Source organism: Homo sapiens, chromosome 10, assembly GCF_000001405.40.
Source record: "Homo sapiens chromosome 10, GRCh38.p14 Primary Assembly".
NCBI lineage: Eukaryota > Metazoa > Chordata > Mammalia > Primates > Hominidae > Homo > Homo sapiens.
This window is the reverse complement of record NC_000010.11, coordinates 98,203,566-98,225,124: the sequence shown is the minus strand read 5'-3', so window position 1 is coordinate 98,225,124 and position 21,559 is coordinate 98,203,566. Positions and strand designations below refer to the sequence as shown.

Sequence of the window (21,559 nt, the reverse complement as noted above, 5' to 3'; positions counted from 1 at the left end):
TCAAATTGAGATATGCTGTAAGTATAAAATATCCCACAGATTTCAAGACTTAATACAAAAAAAAATGTCTTTAATAATTTTTTATACCGATTACATGTTGAAATGGTATTTTGAACATATTAGGTTAAAATATATTATTAATTTTACCTGTTATTACTTTTCTAATATGGCTACTAGAAAATGCAAAACCATACATGTGGTTCACATTTGTGACTTGCATTGTATTTATACTGTAGACAACAGAAACATTTACCTTAAGAATCACATGTATTTGGGCAATCCCTCCTATAAAGTCAATATGAAACCTTCACAATATTTTTTATTAGGGCTAAGAATGTCTGATAGAGCAAAAACAGATGGTAGACGTTTAGAATTTCATTCATTCTGATCTATCTATTATAGACCAAGGGAAAGTTTACAAATGATTCAGAGAAAACAATTTTGAGTTATGAATCACAAATATTTTTAGGATCTTAAATAGTGGTCTGTGTTGCTATTTATAAAGCATAAATGATATGTGAGTATTCCTTCATATGCACAACTAGCTTCCACAAAACCATTCAACTAAATTAAAATTAACTTCCCGAAATAAAGGGTTTGAAGACACTTAGGGCCTAGCAGTCTGGTCTTGAAAACAAGTCTATAAACTATTACCCAACTAGTAATGATGTTATTGCCCTGATGCCTATTCGCAGAGGGATAAAAGGATAGGGGAGAGAGCACAAGATCAACAAGGCATGCATCATTGAGTTTTTATTTTTTGTTTTCTGTTTATTTAATACTTAGTTCTTCAACATATAAAAGGAAAAAAACAAGAAATTCTGAAGTCACATGCCAATTATTCCCCACAGACAAAAAAAAAATATGCCACATTATGCCCCTCCTAGCTGCTGCCACTGGCACCCACACACACCATGAGGGGAACCTGAAAGCAGACCTGCCCACCTGTCACTCATGCACACCTTCCTGGGGCCTAAGAATGAGCCTACACAGCTTTCCGCTGCTACAACAATGAGCGGCACCCAAGCACACTGTCTGAGGGCTAGGGATTAGCCTGCCCCACTTGCCACAGCCTGCATTCAAGTGCAACATCAGGGAGCCTGGAGATTGACCCGCCACAACCCCCCACCTGCGTAATTATTCTGCGTGCTGCTTGGGAGCCAGAGGGATAGCCCACTGCTGCTCCTACCATCACCAAAACACATTGCCCAGGAGCCCAAGGACCCATACGCTCACCCAGCACACTGCTGCCACTGCTGACACCCAAGTAAAATGCCTGGAGGCCTAAGGATCAGCCTGTCCAGACTCACTACCTTTGGTGCACAGAACGCTGCCTGAAGCCCTAAGGATCAGCACACTCAGCCTGCTGTTGTCCAAGGACTGGCCTCTACCTGGTGTCCTCATCCCCAGCAAAGTTCTACTACAGCTTCCACTAACCACCACAGCCTAAGCCATTGAAAAACTCACAGACACAAATAACTGATTACAGCCCAAGATATCATACAGAAACTATGCTACTTTACCCACCCAGAATCAAAACCAAAGTGCCTGACCCAACCAAAAGAATAGATATATCTATAGGAAAAAGTATTTTCCCTATGAAAGCCAATCCATAAAATTTGAAGAAGTGACTATTATACTAGATGCACAGATATGAATGAAAGAACACAAGAAACATAAAAAAGCAAGGAAACATAACACCTCCAAAAGAACACAGTAATTATTCACCAACATTCCAATGAAAAATAAATCTTGCATCCCAGGGATGAAGCCCACTTGATCATGGTGGATAAGCTTTTTGATGTGCTGCTGCATTCGTTTTGCCAGTATTTTATTGAGGATTTTTCCATCAATGTTCATCAAGGATATTGGTCTAAAATTCTCTTTTTTGGTTGTGTCTCTGCGTGGCTTTGGTATCAAAATGATGCTGGCCTCATAAAATGAGTTAGGGAGGATTCCCTCTTATTCTATTGATTGGAATAGTTTCAGAAGGAATGGTACCAGTTCCTCCTTGTACCTCTGGTAGAATTCAGCTGTGAATCCATCTGGTCCTGGACTCTTTTTGGTTGGTAAGCTATTGATTATTGCCACAATTTCAGATCCTGTTATTGGTCTATTCAGAGATTCAACTTCTTCCTGGTTTAGTCTTGGGAGAGTGTATGTGTCGAGGAATTTATCCATTTCTTCTAGATTTTCCAGTTTATTTGCGTAGAGGTGTTTATAGTATTCTCTGATGGTAGTTTGTATTTCTGTGGGATCGGTGGTGATATCCCCTTTATCATTTTTTATTGCATCTATTAGATTCTTCTCTCTTTTTTTCTTTATTAGTCTTGCTAGCGGTCTATCAATTTTGTTGATCCTTTCAAAAAACCAGCTCCTGGATTCATTAATTTTTTGAAGGGTTTTTGGATGCAAGGCTGGTTCAATATATGCAAATCAATAAATGTAATCCAGCATATAAACAGAGACAAAGACAAAAACCACATGATTATCTCAATAGATGCAGAAAAAGCCTTTGACAAAATTCAACAACCCTTCATGCTAAAAACTCCCAATAAATTAGGTATTGATGGGACGTATTTCAAAATAATAAGAGCTATCTATGACAAACCCACAGCCAATATCATACTGAATGGGCAAAAACTGGAAGCATTCCCTTTGAAAACTGGCACAAGACAGGGATGCCGTCTCTCACCACTCCTATTCAACATAGTGTTGGAAGTTCTGGCCAGGGCAATTAGGCAGGAGAAGGAAATAAAGGGTATTCAATTAGGAAAAGAGGAAGTCAAATTGTCCCTGTTTGCAGATGACATGATTGTATATCTAGAAAACCCCACTGTCTCAGCCCAAAATCTCCTTAAGCTGATAAGCAACTTCAGCAAAGACTCAGGATACAAAATCAATGTACAAAAATCACAAGCATTCTTATACACCAGTAACAGACAAACAGACAGCCAAATAATGAGTGAACTCCCACTCACAATTGCTTCAAAAAGAATAAAATACCTAGGAATCCAACTTACAAGGGATGTGAAGGACCTCTTCAAGGACAACTACAAACCACTGCTCAAGGAAATAAAAAAGGATACAAACAAATGGAAGAACATTCCATGCTCATGGGTAGGAAGAATCAATATCGAGAAAATGGCTATACTGCCCAAGGTAATTTACAGATTCAATGCCATCCCCATCAAGCTACTAATGCCTTTCTTCACAGAATTGGAAAAAACTACTTTAAAGTTCATATGGAACCAAAAAAGAGCCCGAATCGCCAAGTCAATCCTAAGCCAAAAGAACAAAGCTGGAGGCATCATGCTACCTGACTTCAAACTATATTACAAGGCTACAGTAACCAAAACAGCATGGTACTGGTACCAAAACAGACATATAGATCAATGGAACAGAACAGAGCCCTCAGAAATAACGCTGCATATCTACAACTATCTGATCTTTGACAAACCTGACAAAAACAAGCAATGGGGAAAGGATTCCCTATTTAATAAATGGTGCTGGGAAAACTGGCTAGCCATATGTAGAAAGCTGAAACTGGATCCCTTCCTTACACCTTATACAAAAATCAATTCAAGATGGATTAAAGACTTAAACGTTAGACCTAAAACATAAAAACCCTAGAAGAAAACCTAGGCATTACCATTCAGGACATAGGCATGGGCAAGGACTTCATGTCTAAAACACCAAAAGCAATGGCAACAAAAGCCAAAATTGACAAATGGGATCTAATTAAACTAAAGAGCTTCTGCACAGCAAAAGAAACTACCATCAGAGTGAACAGGCAACCTACAAAATGGGAGAAAATTTTCGCAACCTCCTCATCTGACAAAGGGCTAATATCCAGAATCTACAATGAACTCAAACAAATTTACAAGAAAAAAACAAACAACCCCATCAACAAGTGGGCGAAGGACATGAACAGACACTTCTCAAAAGAAGACATTTATGCAGCCAAAAGACACATGAAAAAATGCTCATCATCACTGGCCATCAGAGAAATGCAAATCAAAACCACAATGAGATACCATCTCATACCAGTTAGAATGGCAATCATTAAAAAGTCAGGAAACAACAGGTGCTGGAGAGGATGTGGAGAAATAGGAACACTTTTACACTGTTGGTGGGACTGTAAACTAGTTCAACCATTGTGGAAGTCAGTGTGGCGATTCCTCAGGGATCTAGAACTGGAAATACCATTTGACCCAGCCATCCCATTACTGGGTATATACCCAAAGGACTATAAATCATGCTGCTATAAAGACACATGCACACGTATGTTTATTGCGGCATTATTCACAATAGCAAAGACTTGGAACCAACCCAAATGTCCAACAATGACAGACTGGATTAAGAAATTGTGGCACATATACACCATGGAATACTATGCAGCCATAAAAAATGATGAGTTCATGTCCTTTGTAGGGACATGGATGAAATTGGAAAACATCATTCTCAGTAAACTATCGCAAGAACAAAAAACCAAACACCGCATATTCTCACTCATAGGTGGGAATTGAACAATGAGATCACATGGACACAGGAAAGGGAATATCACACTCTGGGGACTGTTGTGGGGTGGGGGGAGGGATAGCATTGGGAGAGATACCTAATGCTAGATGACGAGTTAGTGGGTGCAGTGCACCAGCATGGCATATGTATACATATGTAACTAACCTGCACAATGTGCACATGTACCCTAAAACTTAGAGTATAAAAAAAAAAAAAAGATGGGAAAAAAAAAAGAAAAAGAAATCCATGAAATGCCTGACAAAGAATTCAAAAATATTAAAGAACGTCAGTGAGATACAAGAAAACACAGATAAATAATACAAGGAAATCAGACAAACAATTCATGACCTCAATGAGAAATTCAACAAAGAGTTAGAGTTTATAAAGAAGAACTAAATCAATCCTGAACTGAAGAACTCAATGAATGAAACAAAAAATACAATTGAGGGCAATAGCAGACTAGGTCAAGCAGAAGAAAGAATTTCTGAACTTAAAAGACAGACCCTCTGAAATAACCCTGTCAGAAAATAAATAAACAGAATAAAGAAAGCCTACATGAAATGAGGGACATCACAAAGTGACAAATATTTAAATTTTGGGAGTTCCGGAGAAGAGATGGCTAAAGGCACAAAAAACCTATTTAATGAAGTAACAGCTGAAAATGTCCCAAGTCTTGTAAGAGATATAGACATCCAAATATAGGAAGCTCAAAGATTCCCAAAGAGATTCAACCCAAAAATGTCTTCTCCAAGGCACACTAGTCAAGTTGTCAAAAGTCAAAGACCAAGAATTCTAAAAAACAGCAAGAGAAAATCTTACATAGAAGGGATATACAGAAGGGATTCCCATCAGATGGGAACAACAATAAAGTTGTTCCCAGATAAGCAAAAACAGGGAATTCATTATCATGAGACTGGACCTACAAGAAATGCTTAAGGAAATCTTACACCTGGAAGTGAAAGGATGCTATCTACCATCATAAAAACACATGAAAGCAGAAAGCTCACTGGCAGAACAGACACAAATGAGAGAAAGAAGTCAAATGTTACCACCACAGAAAACCATCAAACTGCAAAGATAAATAAGATAGGAAGAAAGAAACAAAAGATACAGAAAACAATAAAATGACAGGAATAAGTCCTTACCTATCAATAAGGAACCATGAATGTACATGGGTTAAATTCTCCACTTAAAAGATATAATTTGGCTGAACAGATTAATAAACATGACCCAACTATATGCTGCCTACAAGAAACATTTCACCTGTAGACACATATTGCCTGGAAGTAAAAGGATGAAAAAATATATTCCACACAAACAGAAACTAAAAGCAAAGCGGGGGTAGTTATGTAAGATAAAACAGACTTTAAGTCAAAAACTTTAAAAAGGCCTGGCTGGGCATGGTGGCTCACACCTGTAATCCCAACACTTTGGGAGGCCAAGGCAGGTGGATCACTTGAGGCCAGGAGATCAAGACCAGCCTGGACAACATGGTGAAACCCTGTCTCTACTAAAAATACACAAATTAGCTGAGCATAATAGCATGCGCCTATAATCCCAGCTACTCAGGAAGCTGGCGCAGAAGAATCGCTTGAACCCAGAAGGTGGAGGGTGCAGTGAGCTGAGACCATGCCACTACACTCCAGCCTGGGAGACAGAGTTTCCAAAAAAAAAGAAACAAAGTCTATGATAAAGCGATCAACTCAGTAAGATGATAAAACATTGTAAATATAGACGCACTCAACAAAAGAGCACCCAGATATATAAAGAAAATACTATTAGATCTAAAGGAAGAAATAGACTCCAATACAATAATAGCTGGGGGCTTCAACATCCCACTCTCAGCATTGGACAGATCATCTAGACAGAAAATCAACAGAGAAACATTGGATTTACACTGCACTGTAAACCAAATGGACCTAACAGACATTACTGGAACACTTTACCCAACAACTGCAGGATACATTCTCATCAGCACAACCTAATGAAGCACCTCGAAGAATTAGAAAAGCAAGAACAAACCAAACCCAAAATTAGTAAAAGACTTCATAAAGATAACATTGGAACTAAATGAGAGACTAAGAAAATACAAAGTATCAATGAAACAAAAGTTTTTTTTAATACAAAAACCAAAATCAATAAAACACCAGCTAGACTAACCATGGTCAAATCATCATATGACTTGCATACGTTGAATCATCCTTGCATTCCTAGAATAAACCCCACTTGATCATGGTATCTTTTTTTTTTATGTTGAATTTGGTTTACTAGTATTTTGTTGATTTTTGTAAAAAATGTGATACATTAGATCAACAGAATGAAGGTCAAAACCCATATAAACATCTCAACAGATACAGAAAAAGCACTTGATGAAGTTCAACATCCCTTCATGATAAAAACCCTCAACAAATTAGAAATAGAAGAAACATACCTCAACATAATAAAGGCTATATATGACAAACTCACACCTAACATTATGATGAATGGGAAAAGCTTTCCACTTTTCCTCTAAGAATGGGAACAAAACAACAATGTCCACATTCACCACTCTTATTCATCGTAGTACTTGAAGTCCTAGACAGAGCAACAGGAAAGAGAAATAAAGAGCTGCCAAATTGGAAAAGAGGAAGTCAAACTGTATCTCTTTGAAGATGAAATGATCTTATAGAAAAATCTAATGACTCCACCAAAAAACTCTCAGAACTGATAAAGAAATTCAGTAAATTACCAGATACAAAGTCAGCCAATATAACTCAGCATTTCTGTACACCAATAGCACACTAGTTGAAAAAAAAAATCAAGAAAGAAATCCCATTTATAATAAAAACAAAAAATGAAATAAAATACCTAGGAGTAAATCTGACTAAGGAGGCGAAAGCTCTCTACCAGGAAAACTATAAAACACTGATGAAAGAAAACTGGAGAGAACACAAACAAATCGGAAGACATCTCATGCTTATGAACTGGAAAAATTAATACTGTTAAAATGACCATACTGCCTAAAGCAATCTAAAGATTCAATGCAATCCCTATCAAAATACCAACGACAATTCTTCATACAAATAGAAAAAACAATACTAAAATTTGAATGGAACCACAAAAGACAAAGAATAGTCAAAGCAATACTGAGCAAAAAGAATAAATCTGGAGGTATCACACTACCTGATTTCAAAAAATACTGTAAAGCTGTAGTAACCAAAACAGCATGGTATTGGTATAAAAACAGGCATACAGACCAATGGAACAGAATAGAGAACCCTATTCTGTTCATGCATTTACAGCCAACTGATTTTCGACAAAGGCACCAAGAACACTGAGGAAAGCACGCCCTCTTCAATAAATGGTGCTGAAAAAATTGGATGTCTATATGCAGAAGAATGAAGCTAGATTCCTATCTCTTACCATATACAAAAACCAACTCAAAATGAATTAATGACTTAAACGTAAGACCTGAAACTATAAAACTCTGTATGACAGCCCTAGCAAACTAATACCTTATTCTAGTAAATAAGGCTGGAAAAGAAGGATGGAGTTTCAATTTCCTTACCAACATTTTGGTTTTAAATTCAACTATAACTGACATGTCATATTTATTCCTATATTCCCCCACTGAACATATTATCTTGCAAACTAGGCAGTCAATATATATTTATAGAATGAATAAAATGTACATGCTTCAAGTTAATTATTTTGTCCAAATGCATGCTTAACAAGACTTATTCTAAGCTGGGTGTAGTGAGTCATACTTGTAATCCCAACACTTTGGGGGGCTGAGGTGAGACGATCACTTGAGGCCACAAGATCAAGACCAGCCTAGGCAAGACAACAAGAGTCCTCCTCTACAAAAAATAAATTTTTTAAAAATTAGACAGGCATGGTGGTATACTCCTGTGGTCCCAGCTACTCGGGAGGGTGAGGCAGCAGAATTGCTTGAGCCCAGGAGTTTGAGGCTACAGTGAGCTAAGATCGTGCCACTGCACTCTAGCCTGGGCAACAAAGTGAGACTGTCTCAACCCCCACCACATAAAAAACAGACGAACAAAAAAACCCAAGACTTATTTGATTTATACAACAACAAATACATGTATGTTGAGACAGGGTCTCATTCTGTTGCCCAGGCTGAAGTGCAGGGATATGACTTGGCTCACTGCAGCGTCTGCCTCCTGGGCTCAAGCGATCCTTCCACCTCACCCTCCCCAGTAGCTGGGACCACAGGCACATGCCACTACGCCCGGCTAAGTTTTGTATTTTTTGTAGAGATGAGGTTTTGCCATGTTGCCTAGGGTGGTCTCAAACTCCTGCACTCAAGCGATCCACCTGCCTCGGCCTCACAAAGTGCTGGGATTACAGGTGTGAGCCACCCTGCTCAGGTAAGAACATATATTTTTTAAATGATTCTAAATGGCACTCTAAAATTGGGGGAAAAAAATTGATACTTTTTTCTTTCCCTTTACCAATAAACTTCAACTGCCCTGGTTAATCATGAAGAAAATTCAGAATAAATTATAAAAAGAAAACAAAATTTCAAAATAAATCATCTAAACTTCTGATAGTGACAAACTTAGGACTTGATTCTGATTCTGTTTTTCACAAGCTGTTCTCACAACCTGGAATGCTTTTTCTGCTCATGTTCTGTCTTCTCCCAAGATCCAGCTTCAATCTTTAAACTCCTCTGGATGCTTCTTTCCCAATTTACTCCAATTTGGCGATCTTTCCTTTCCTATATTACTATTTCCTAACACTCAGTAGTTGGATATATACATTTCATCAATTCTAAGATATATCCTTTTTTTCACATTTTAACAACACTGACATTAGGACGCATCACAATCAACATATTGTTATTGCTTCCTGCACATGTGTATCAGAAGCACCAGTACCAAAACTGGCAGAAAGGATGGTCAGTAATGTGGAGGAAAATTCTAAATATCAGAACAGCTCTACACAAGTACAAAGGTGTCTTAAGAATTCTGCAACAAAGATTTTTGGTTCTTTTATGTATTCTTTTAAGAAATGCTGCGTCATCAAAGTTCTCAATGGCAAAATGGATGACACTGAATAGAAAAGCATCAATATCAGTGGCTGAATCAACAAATTATTAGAAAGAGTTGGATTGTGAACGTGAAGTATTAGGAAAATCTTAACCAATTTATTTTACTACATTTTTTATGTATGAAGATGAAATATGATAAAAAAAAATTTATGTCTAATTAGGAGAGTTGTTTCAATATGTATAAAATTAAAATTTTAAGGGAAAAGCACTGTGTCAAAGTTTTTTCTATCTTAGTAATTCATAAAATAATGGTATATTTCACAAAGGCATTTCCAATTCATTTAAATAGAATACTCTTTTTTTTCTAGTCATTCCTGAGAATAAATAAGTCTCATTATTCCACAGGACTGTACACTGTTTAAATATTGTTATCCTTCTCTTTTACCCCCAACATCACTAAGATCAGCGCTGGGCACAGAATATTTGTTCAATATCTGTTGACTGGCTGAGACCCAGTCAGGTAGAGACAAAGGCTTAATGTCATGGAAAGAGCGCAGGGCTAGAAACCAGGAGGCACAGATTCTAATGCCAACTCTGGCATGAACTTACTTTAGCTACAACCCTTCTGGGCCTTAGTTACCTTATCTATAAAATAAGAAGGGGCCAGACTAGATTGTAGGCTAGACTAGACTAGAGCTAGACTAGACCGCTAAATCAATGTTTAAGGAGTTGATAGTCTTGTAGAACTAATGAGACTTATTTTCAGAAATGATTTTAAATGCTAACATTCCACTTTTAAAAAATGACTTGTGCAGTTCTATCTCTAAGACAGGATAAAGCTCTAGCTCTGAGTCCTTATATGTCAAGGACTATACTATAAATTCTGGCTCATCTTGGAAGATAGGAATAAGAACGTTTTCATGGGTACTTTTAATTAAACACAATTAAACATAACAAACCACTTTACAGTTATAGGTAAAACAAATTTAAATGAGAGGCACTGGGGGTTACAGTGACAAGGACAACAAGATTTGGGCACAAGTTGGTGGTGTGAAATTACTACAGTTGCTTCAAAAATCTATTTACATAGAATTAACCCATATAATCAATTCTCAATTATGTAGGTGAGGTTATTCAAGCCCTTCATTTCTGTTTTTCTCTTCCACTTAACTGCTTGTTAACTCACTTTCTACTGAAGAAAATCAATTTAAGATTTTATGATTTACTATATATATACCCTGACAAATTAAAAAATGCCCTAACCATACTCCACATGCCATATCTCATGGAATTCACTGAAACAAGCACTGCCAAGGACAGAGCAAGGTACACTAGGAATCTGAATCTTCAGGCAAGAATCCTTAAATAAAAGCTTCCTTGTACTGACAATACAGGCCCAGAACTGTTCACCTTTCTGCAGTTTTGAAAGAGGATCAGAAATTAAAATGCTGCTGGCTTCTATACTGATTCTGAGGAAAAAATGTTATGCAACAAATATAACAGAGCTCAAAGGGAGATTTTTAATTTTAGGAGTCACCTGGTTACAAAAACAAAAACTATGAGTGATGGAATCTACTTAATGTTCCCTCTTTCTGTTTGGACCAGAGATCTAGTCATCATTCACTAATGGATTGAACAATAAAAACAGAGTACATAATTCACTCAGATTCTTCACTGAATGTCCCAACTGACTGCATTAGAATATACAGCATCTGGAAAGTGAGTCAATAAATCCCCACTTAGGCAGTCAATAACATGTCAATTCAGACATCTTTATAAAATATGAATTAGAAATCTGTTAAAATGAGCTGGAACTTTTAAAAGATATTGTGAAAAAAATTAGAACGACAGGTGAGGGGGTACAAGGGAACTCTGTACTCTGTTCAATTTTTTAAATAAATCTAAAACTACTCAAAAATAAAGTCTATAGATTTTTTTAAAATGGAATAGAAAACAGAAATTAGAAACAGAACAGCATAGTAAAAGTGGGAACTATAATCTCTTGTTTAATTCTATAGCCTCACCAACATGAAACTGCATCAACCAGTCTAGCATTGGGGGATCTAATCCCCTTTTGTTCTTTTTCCCCTGTCCTATCCCTCTAATCTCCTTTTGAAGTCATATTCTGTGTCACTTATCAGGCAATGAAATACAGTTTTAGTACATCTGTTATAAGGTTGTTTTATATTAATTTCCCTGCAGATTGCTGTGGGACTAGTCACATAGTTACATACTGTCTCTCCAAATAAAACATGAACAACTTCAGAGCAAAAGATGGCATGCAGCACAGTGCCTTTAACATAGCAGTGATAACAACACATATCTAGCTATTAGGGATTTATAGTTTATCAAACTCTAAGTGTTCAATATTTGCTATTCAACTGAAAGGTGATGGGCTACCAACTATTTATGAGGCCTCGAGGGGTTGGGATATGAAGGGCTTTCCTCTCTTTGTATGTTACATAATTTGCTTTTAGTGACTGGATTATAAATTTTTCCTTTCAGTTTTGGGTTTTCCACTTAACATGGACACCATTTTTGCAAAAGACTATAGGGAGACAGAGACAGTATAACAATGTAAGTTAGCACACACTGAGAAGTAAGATGGGTGGGAAAAGATGGTATTCCTTTTACTCTTCTCTTACCCATTATGGTCTACATACTATTATAGAATATGGTGGTATAATATTAGTGGCCTTCTGTAACCAAGGGAAGGCCTCAAATTCTTAAAAAGTTTAGGAGATACTACTTAAATATTTACCCCTATCTAAAAATTCAAATCAGTGCCAGAAATGACAATGAAGGTAACAAATGCTGGTATCTATCAACATCAATGTTATGTTCTTGGTATCCCATTAATCCTCCTACCAACAGATCTGATGATCAGTACAGATGGCAGTAGGGCTATGAAAGTATTTTCTAATGAAAAATAACTCCTGTGTTCTTCTACCAAGAATTCAGAGGGCTAAAAAAAGTCATGCCAATATCATCTCCTTCATCAATTACCACCTTAAGTTTCTGGGCATTCCATACCGTGGCTTTAGGAGACTAAGTGTGATTCTTGGAGACTCATCAAGAGTTGCAGTTCTGGGAGCTCAATAATGACCTACTTATACTCTAACCCCCTAAGGCAGTTTTGGAGGTTCAAATGTCACAGGAAATTGCTTCACAAGCCAATGGCTGTCACACCTTGCTCTACAGCATACCTGACTATTAGAAGTATTAGACATACCTCCATATGTCTAGCTGCTATCAATCAAGAAACAGGCCAGCTGGGATGATAGCCAAAAACCTTTAGTTGGAAAGTTTTCAAGGGAGGCAGGCACTCACTCTGCTTTAGCACTTAATAAAGTATGTTTGGAGCAATAAAAATAATAAACCAGAAGTCATCAAAGGGCTATTAATGTTGCTGGATTTGTGACATCTTTTAATAACAGTATCATTATTACATTTTCTAAAACCCAAAGCAGAGGAGTTGGATCTGCTACTTGCATTCTCAATCCATTTCCCTCCTTCCTGCTCTCAGTTATGCTCATTCCTCAACACAGACCCTACTCTTTTCCAAGTACCTCCAAACATAAGCCAAACACAACACCCAGACACTGTCCATCTTCAGCTTAAAATACTATATTCTCTGTTTTCCTCCCAATCCCAGCTTTAGGTCATCCCAATGTCCTCTTTATGTTACTATGCTCCTCGAAATACTGAGTTGTTGCCTAAATTATCTTACACCTAAACACTGGAAAGACCTGAAAAACTGAGTTGTACACCTGAACTCCCCCTCTTCCAATACACAAGCCATATCCATAAGCTACCCCACTGAATCCAAGTTCCAGCCCCTGATGTTTTGAAAGCCCCTGGAAGCCACCCTAAAAAGACAGAGCCCCCAACTCTGCCCTATCAACGCCATCCATTGGATAAATATTTACTGAGTACTACACCATGTGTAAAAGGCCATGAGAGCCACGCTCTTCTTTTGGAGGAAGCTGTTCATCTCTCCTCCATGTTCATGTGCTCTCTCTATTCCTCATGCAGTCCTTTCACCAACTCTTGCGAACACTGTTTCTTTTCTCAGACTAAAGCCTTCTCTCAATGCTTTAGTTCTTAATAACATCTCTATATTCACCTAGCTTCCCACCTTATTATTATTTCTTAACCTGATTTGGATCTCAAACCTCTACTGAACAGTATTTTTCTAATTATGGGCTGACAGTCATTTGCAGTTCCCTACTCACATTCTGATATAGATTTAAGTGTATTACCTTTGAGCAGTGGTTCTCGGGCTTTATGTGCATCAGAATCCCCTGAAAAAGTTGTAAATAGACAGTTTGCTGGGCTAAATAATTTGAATTTCTAACAAGTTCCTAGGTGATACTCATGCTGCTGGTCTAGGGACCATACTTTGGAAATCACTGCCTTTGAGAATCTGATGAAAGCTATGAAAAAACACACATACGTACATATAATTTTGCATGTAATTCAAGGGGCTCATGGATGCTCATTCATAGGTATTCTCCGCTCTATATTTTGTTCTAAGGAATGTTTAAGATATAGTGTTTCCTGACCTGACAGGATGTGCTCGTTTGTGGTACAGGGAAATTCTTTCTGTGCAAACAGCTCCCACGAATGAGGTGGGATTGCTTGGTATTGGAAAGTCAGTTCTATCCAATGGACCGCCCTCTTCAGTATTATGTGGCTCTTTTACAGGCATGTGATAATTTTTCTATACTTCCAGCTTAATTCTCAGAACAAAAGACTCATCACTTAGTATTCAAAAGGGTCTTTGGAATGCCTCAAAAGAAATCCTTTAGGTGAGGAAATAGTCTCGTAGAGAGAACATAAACATTGGATTAAGACAGAACTAGACTGAAATCCTGATTCTGCCTTTCCTAAAGGTGTGACCACTGAGCTTCAACTTCCTCATTTATAAAACTGGTGCTCTTATAGGAAAATAATTTTTTCCTTTCCAGGCAAAGTTATGTGAACCCACTATAGGGAAGGAAAGAGGGAGTGTTCTACTACTTAAAACCAGTGATTCTTATTTAAGGTAAGGAATTTAAATGTTGGATACAGAGTAAACATTTAAATTAAGAAAACAAAAAGACTGAACTGAGTAATTTCTAAGATGCCTCAAATCTAACATTTATTTATGAATTCTAATTGGCCAGCATATCATTATTCACTTACATCTTCTATTTATGCTAAATGGGTAATTCATTCTTCAATTTAACCCAGTATAAACTCCTTAAAAAACAATGATACTTTCTTGTATTTTACCCTTCTTTTCTCTACTTCCTTCCCTCTACAGTGTCTAACACTCCAACATCCACTAGAAAATAAAATATAAATAACAATAGTAATAAATTATTCTCCTTCCCTTAAATAGGCCCATGTAAAAGATACCTTGTCAACATAGAAAAACCTTTTTGAAGAAGTTTTCCTTTGCATTTCCTTGACAGATAGTTAAAATCCATTAAATTCATCTTTATTCCATAAAATCTCTCAGGGCTTGGCTATTATAGATACAGCTCAATTCTGTATATTTTATTTTTTAAAGATCTATCAGATATTCTCTTCTTAATCTACAAGCCTATTAGTTTATTGCAGGAACTCTTAAATATCAGTGAATGTGCATCACTGTCTATCAAAATTACCACTGAAATCCTAATTTATAAACTAACTAAGCATCAAGCAATTTCAATTAAACATACCTCTTGTAGAAGACGTGGATCCAGGCAGTCACCATCATCGTTAAACATAGACTCCCAGCTCTCCTCAATGGCAGTAATTCCCTCTGTGTGAGAAGTTTCAGTTGCTTTTGGTTCGATGGATGTTTCCATAGATGATGATTCCCTATCAGGAAAAGATACACCAAATTCTATACTCCCTGAGTCATCTTGCTCTTCTGTTTTGAACTCTTCGGCAGTTCTTAGTTCGTGCAATGCTTCTGTTGTATCACCAGTACTACCCAGGTCAATGCCCACGGCACTGTCTGAAAGAACTTTTGTCCCATTTAACATACTGAGTTCAGAGTCCAAAAAAGTGTTATAATTACTACCAGCAATCTTTTTTATAGGTAAGGAGGAAGCACAATCTGACAAGCTCTCTATCAACTTTCCTGTTGACTCTGTAAAATGAGATGAAATACTCTCACCATAAATATCTGAGCAAGCAGAAGGGTTGCTGAAATCTTCAGTGTCATTCCCACTTCTAGCTACATGAAGAGGGGTTGCATCTGCACTCATTCCTACAAACTTTGAGAAACTTCGTGTATTAATAGAGGTCTCATCAGCTATTCTAACTGCAACTACATAAGGGCTATCAACAGTTACATGATCACTACAGGACATACCTGTAGTGTCCATCATACATGCTTTATTGGTAATGTCACCTACATTCTTAAATCCACTATCTCTATGTGTTTCATGAGCAAGGACAGCTGTATCAGGAGGTTCGTGCTTTACATGTAACTCATCAGCAGTGCTGTCATTCTTCTCACATTCTCTAATCATTACTGGACTAACAGTGTCATTTGTGCTCTCTGACAGAGAGATGTGACCCATAGTTGCAGGAATGGAATCTGTATCTTTTTGATCTAAGATGAAACCTGTACTATTGGCTATACCACCTACACTCTCAACTTCAAAATCTACGCAAGTTTGATCAAAGACACCATCTGGACTTCCAGGAACAGAAGTAGTGGTGATGCCTCCGCTGCTGGGATTCAATATTCCATCTGATGTTTGCATGCTTTGTTGTACAATTTCAGAATCAGAGCTTAGTTTTATTGGTACAATCATATTCTCAGGTTTCATGACAGAACTAAAAACTCTAGGAAACTCATATAGTATCTCCAAAACCTTGGTATCAGTTTCAATTCTGCCTTCCAAATCTTTGTCTTCAAATGCTTCCCCATCAGGTTCATGCCTACTGAAGTCACAGAATTCCACATTTTGGAATGGTTTGCTTGGAACTTGAGCCTCGCTGATTTCTAAACAGGCCTGTGAAAGAAGTATCCTCTCATGTCCTGTCACATCCGTAGTTTCAACTTCCAAACACTCCACCTTCTTTGGTTTAAAATGTCTCTGCAAAGGTGCATTAGTTATAACCCCAGCATTTGGGGCTCCCTGCTGTTGTCCTTGGGATAATACTTCTTTGGATTCAGTGGTTCCTCTCTTAGAACAAACTCTATTTGTTTTTTGAAGGCATGTGTCCATTCTTAATTTTGTTGAAGATTTCTTTTCTTCTCTACAATTATGCTCCTTTCTATCAGGATTGATATTTAGTCTTCGAGCCTCCGGTTTGTCTTTAAAGACTTCTTTTTGGGAGAGAGAACTTTCTTTTTGCTTTTCTTTCACCACAGAGTTAGGTGAACCACAGCTTTCTTCTTCATCACCTGTCTTAAGGAGTACTGCACCCCTACGAGCTTTAGGTACATAAAGTGCCATGTCAGGCCTTCTGGCTCTAACTCTGCATCTCTCTGATTCTTGCTGCATGGCACCACCACAATCTGCAAGAGAAGAATGATTTAATTATTAGACACTAATTACAATGTATTGAACCAAAATATTTTCTTTTTTCTTTTTGGGACAGAGTCTCACACTGTCACCCAGGCTAGAGTACAGTGGAGCGATCTCAGCTCACTGTAACCTCTGCCCTTCCAGGCTCAAGCGATCCTTCCACCTCTGCCTCCTGAGTAGCTAGGACCAGACACATGCCACCATGCCTGGCTTTGTGGTTTTGTTTGTTTGTTTTTGTATTTCTGGTAGAGACCGGGTTTCATCATGTTGCCTAGGCTGGTCTCAAGCCCAGGCTGAGCTTAAGGCAATCTACCCACCTTTGTCTCCCAAAGTGCTGGGATGACAGGCATGAACCACTGTGCCCGGCCTTTTTTTTTTTCTTTAATTTTTTTGTTGTTGTTGTTCAACATAAATATACATACACATAAAGTGATTTCTGAGAGTAACTTGAATGTTGGCTAGAAAATGAAATGACTTATCAGAGAATGCTTTCTAGAAGATGCTGCTTTTGATCTAAGATATCTTAGAAAAGAGAAAGTAGTGAAAAAGAGAAAAGTATTATTCTATTAATACCATTTAGTCAAGTGACTTGCTATCAATTTCCCTTGCTTCCAGCAGTAATAAAACAGATCTGGCTAGGATGAAGGAGGATAGAAGACCAAGGAAACTGTGATGAGACAATTCACTCTAGTAACTCCCTGACAACCTCCACCATGGTTGCTCAATGGAATTTAACAAGAAGAAATATAACAAAAGTTAAAAAAATCTTTATCTACTATCTACTAAAATACAAGAAAATGTGCTAGGGAATTTCATATTGAATTATTCTTTTAATTTTCAAAATAATGCTATGAAGTAGGGATAAGTTTGTCCAGGACAAAGAGAATAAGGAGGTGCTATACACAACAGAGAAACACCCACATACACACAGATGCACACACTGTTAACATTTCACAACGTACATTTCAAAAGAAGGAGATAATGAGAAGGCAGAGAGGAAAAAAGGCTAACGCATCCTGTCCACTCTATTCCAGATCCCTAAAATTTCACCTGGTCCAGAATACTTCCTTGATGAAAAAGCTCTATTCTCATGGCACAGGTTATTTTCCTTTCAGCCCAAGTAATACCGTGGCCCTGATCATCAAGTATCTCCAGTGATTATCTTGTTCCTTTTCTCTTTTGGTATCTTAGTTAACATCTAGCCCAACATTCTTCATGTATTTTATATCTTCCATTTGAGGAAGAATATGACCTTAACATTTAGGCATGCCAGGATTTTTCAAAAAATGCCTAATTTTCAAAGACAGAAGTACTGAAGTGTGTTTCATAGAAAGGGATACCAGAGACATAGCACACCTGGATTACAGTAAGTAAAACATCTGACAAAATATATCATAATGAACTTCTGGATATAAAATGATGAAATGGGGATTACTTAGCAAAACTGATAAGTGGACTCACAAAAGATTAAACAAAAAATAATAATAATAATGGGTAGAAATGAATTTAGAGATTAGTTAAAGGAGGATTATATAGCCCTTTGAAATTCAACAATTTATACAATAATTTAGATGTAAACAATAAACACTGAGTGCTTATCAAGTCTGCAACTGACACAAAAATGACAGAACTAATAAATACCAAAAATTATAAAATTAAAATTCAATATCATTTCTATAATCTGAAATGCTGTGCTGAAAGCAATATGAAGGTTTAAAGCAGTAAATACAAGGATCTCTTTTGGAGGTTTTTTTTTTTTTTTTAAAGAATCAAACAAAAGACAGAAGACGTGACTTCTGTATAATTTGCATAAAGAAAGATCTAAAGGCTTTTATTTGTTCACAAGGTCAATAAAAGCCCCAAAATAGTGATGTGATGTTTAAAAAGGTAACACACTCTTAGATTACAGAGTCTAGAAAATATGTCATACAATGTAGAGCTAAAAGAACTAAAGGTATAATTCTTGCCCAAAGAGGTCTCAATGAAAAACCACAGCTAACTTTATACCTGAAAGATCAGTTGCTCTATAAAAGAGACAAGATTTCTTGTTTATGTTTCTATGTTTCTCCAGAAGTCAGTACCAGAACCAATTGTTAGAAATAAAAGGAAAACAAAATTTAGCTCAAAGTAAGAAAGAATTCTACTACTAGATTTCTCCAATGTTATTACCAGGAAATGAGCTCTGTCTCTAGCAGAATTTAGATAAAGGCTGGATGACTGACATATACTAGAGAAACTCTAAATTCTATGATTCTATTTCTAATCTGCAATAGACCTATCAAAGGCTTCAAATTATCTACTTTAAAATTATTATGTGCCACAGTTAATGACTTTACAAATTCAACCTTTTTTTCTTAAATAATGCTCACATGTAATACTATTTCCTATAGCTGAAAATCAGTATAATAAATTTATATTATTATCTATTTCCTACCAAAGCAATGATTTCGACTGTGCCATGACCAGCAGTGTGCTGGCAAATATTCAGCAATCAGCTTTCCAAGTGTCCTTTGTAGTATTACTTGATGTTTTTCTTTATGTCACTGATGTCAATGATGTGAGCGACTTCTTAGCTGAAGTAATCATTTTTTAAGAATGGAAGAATATATACTTTTTTTTAGTTACAATATAATAACTAAAGGCATGACACATTTTTATTAGCAGCATTTTCTCCATCACTTTAAGTCTAGACAATCAAGAAATAAGAAATCAAGCCCTATTTATGGCATTTGACAATCTCTGTAGCGTAAACATTCTTCCCATAGCTAATTTCTAGTTATCATTGTGAGATCACCAAATATAGAGTTGGGGAAAAAAATGTACAAAAGCACACCATTCTATTATTTCAACCAGAGGTATGATATACTTACATAAATAGCTTGAAAAGCATAGATTATAATAAAATGTAGTAAAATAATTAGGAAGTGATGAGTTTGAAGTATTTATTAGCTTTTAAAATGTAATTTTAATAGTAAGCCTATGTTCTTTAGTTTTTAATAATAGCTGTGTTTAACAATCAGTTTGCAGAATTCCTAAAATTTTAACAATCAGGTCTCAGGCCAGTAGGAGACACTCCAATCCACCAGTATGCCCATTTTTTCATAACTCACAGACACAAAAAAGGAGAAGCATCCCCATTCTTGTGGACTGTCAGGATACAGTAGTCCCCACTCTTATCTGCGGCAGATATGTACCAAGATCCCCAATGGATGCCTGGACCATGGATAGTACCAAACCCCAAATATATTGTCTTTTACTACACATACATACCTATGATAAATTTTAATTTATAAATTAGGCACAGGAAAAGATTAATAACTAATAAAACAGAACAAGTATAACGATACGTAATATTGTTATATATAATATATAAAAGTTACGTGAATGTGGTCTCTCAAAGTATATTATAGTATGCAATATTTTCATACATGGATGACCACAGGAACTGAAATCATGGAAAGCAAAACCGTGGAAAAGAGGAGAACACTATATTGCCAATTTAATTTAAAGCCTTATTGCATTTTTATGAATTTCTTTTGCAACTATAGGCAAGAAACGCTTTTCACATTGGGAGTGGGGCTGCCTGCCATACAATTTTTTAAAATGTACCTTGGATTAAACTTTTCCCATCCTGCTACTTGCTATTTACTAATAGCACTTGATCTTCTCTCTCTCTCTTTTTTTTTTGAGACAGTTTTGCTCTTGTTGCCCAGGGTGGAGTGCAATGGCACGATCTTGGCTCACCACAACCTCTGCCTCCTGGGTTCAGGCTATTCTCCTGCCTCAGCCTCCCAAGCAGCTGGGATTACAGGTGCCCACCACGCCTGGCTAATTTTGTGTTTTAAGTAGACATGGGGTTTCTCTATGTTGGTCAGGCTGGTCTCAAACTCCCGACCTCAGGTGATCCGCCCACGTGGGCCTCCCAAAGTGCTGGGATTACAGGTGTAAGCCACCGTGCTGGGCCGATTATTTTCTCTCTTTTAACACAGTTTTAACTTTTTCGCAATGTTCTAAGTGCTTTTTATCCATCTAATTTGCTTCTTAACTGGACAGAATCCATTATTTGGGGTGCATTTTGCAGCTAATTTATGCTTGAAGGACCATCAGCATGCACTCTGTTCAAAAATCACACTTTCTAAAGGGGATAAAAATTCAGATTCCTTCATAATGGAGGTCAGTCAATTGCTAACACATGCCTTTAAAATATTTTAGGCCAAATCATTTTTTTCTGTTATACTGTTGAACACTGGGATCATACCTGAGCACCTGTCCAATTACTTCTACAGTTTCCACGGCTCCCTGAGAGAAAATATTGGTAACTTCCTTTAAGTACCTCTCTGATTCATCTTCATGAGAAATTGAACAAGCACACAATAAATTGGGCTTTCATATTTTCACAACAGAACATCAACGCTTTTTGTCCCATATTTGGTATCTAAAACATATGGATCCCTCTTCAATCAACAACTGAGTATTGGCACTTAAGGCACTCACTGGGTAATTCAACCATGAATTGATTTAATCC

General features: G+C 36.9%; 1 protein-coding gene across 49 annotated transcripts in view, besides 2 other annotated features; it reads right to left on the bottom strand.

Moving 5' to 3' along the window:
* The window catches only part of R3HCC1L (R3H domain and coiled-coil containing 1 like), a 110,241-nt gene that overhangs the window by 19,773 nt on the left and 68,909 nt on the right, over positions 1-21,559 (bottom strand). For 25 of the 49 annotated variants that reach the window (XR_007061959.1, XM_047425072.1, XM_047425071.1 and 22 more), the window contains one exon: positions 15,226-17,024. The exons of 1 other annotated variant lie outside the window; for it this stretch is intronic. Coding sequence is in view for 47 of the 48 variants with exons in the window: in XM_047425072.1 (XP_047281028.1) it covers positions 15,226-17,010 (1,785 nt within the window). In the remaining variant the exon portion in view is untranslated. Of the gene's footprint in view, positions 1-2,017; positions 2,418-13,776; positions 13,819-15,225; positions 17,025-19,468; positions 19,608-21,559 lie in introns of those variants that run through there. 23 more of the 49 variants (XM_047425065.1, XM_047425067.1, XM_011539645.3 and 20 more) reach the window with 4 other exon arrangements.
* Positions 652-1,183: an enhancer, noted in NCBI's record as "H3K27ac-H3K4me1 hESC enhancer chr10:99983699-99984230 (GRCh37/hg19 assembly coordinates)". NCBI's record gives its function as "activates a minimal SCP1, AML or CMV promoter by ChIP-STARR-seq in primed H9 embryonic stem cells {active_cell/tissue: H9 hESC(primed)}" and the evidence as "EXISTENCE:reporter gene assay evidence [ECO:0000049][PMID:30033119]".
* Positions 1,184-1,717: an enhancer, noted in NCBI's record as "H3K27ac-H3K4me1 hESC enhancer chr10:99983165-99983698 (GRCh37/hg19 assembly coordinates)". NCBI's record gives its function as "activates a minimal SCP1, AML or CMV promoter by ChIP-STARR-seq in primed H9 embryonic stem cells {active_cell/tissue: H9 hESC(primed)}" and the evidence as "EXISTENCE:reporter gene assay evidence [ECO:0000049][PMID:30033119]".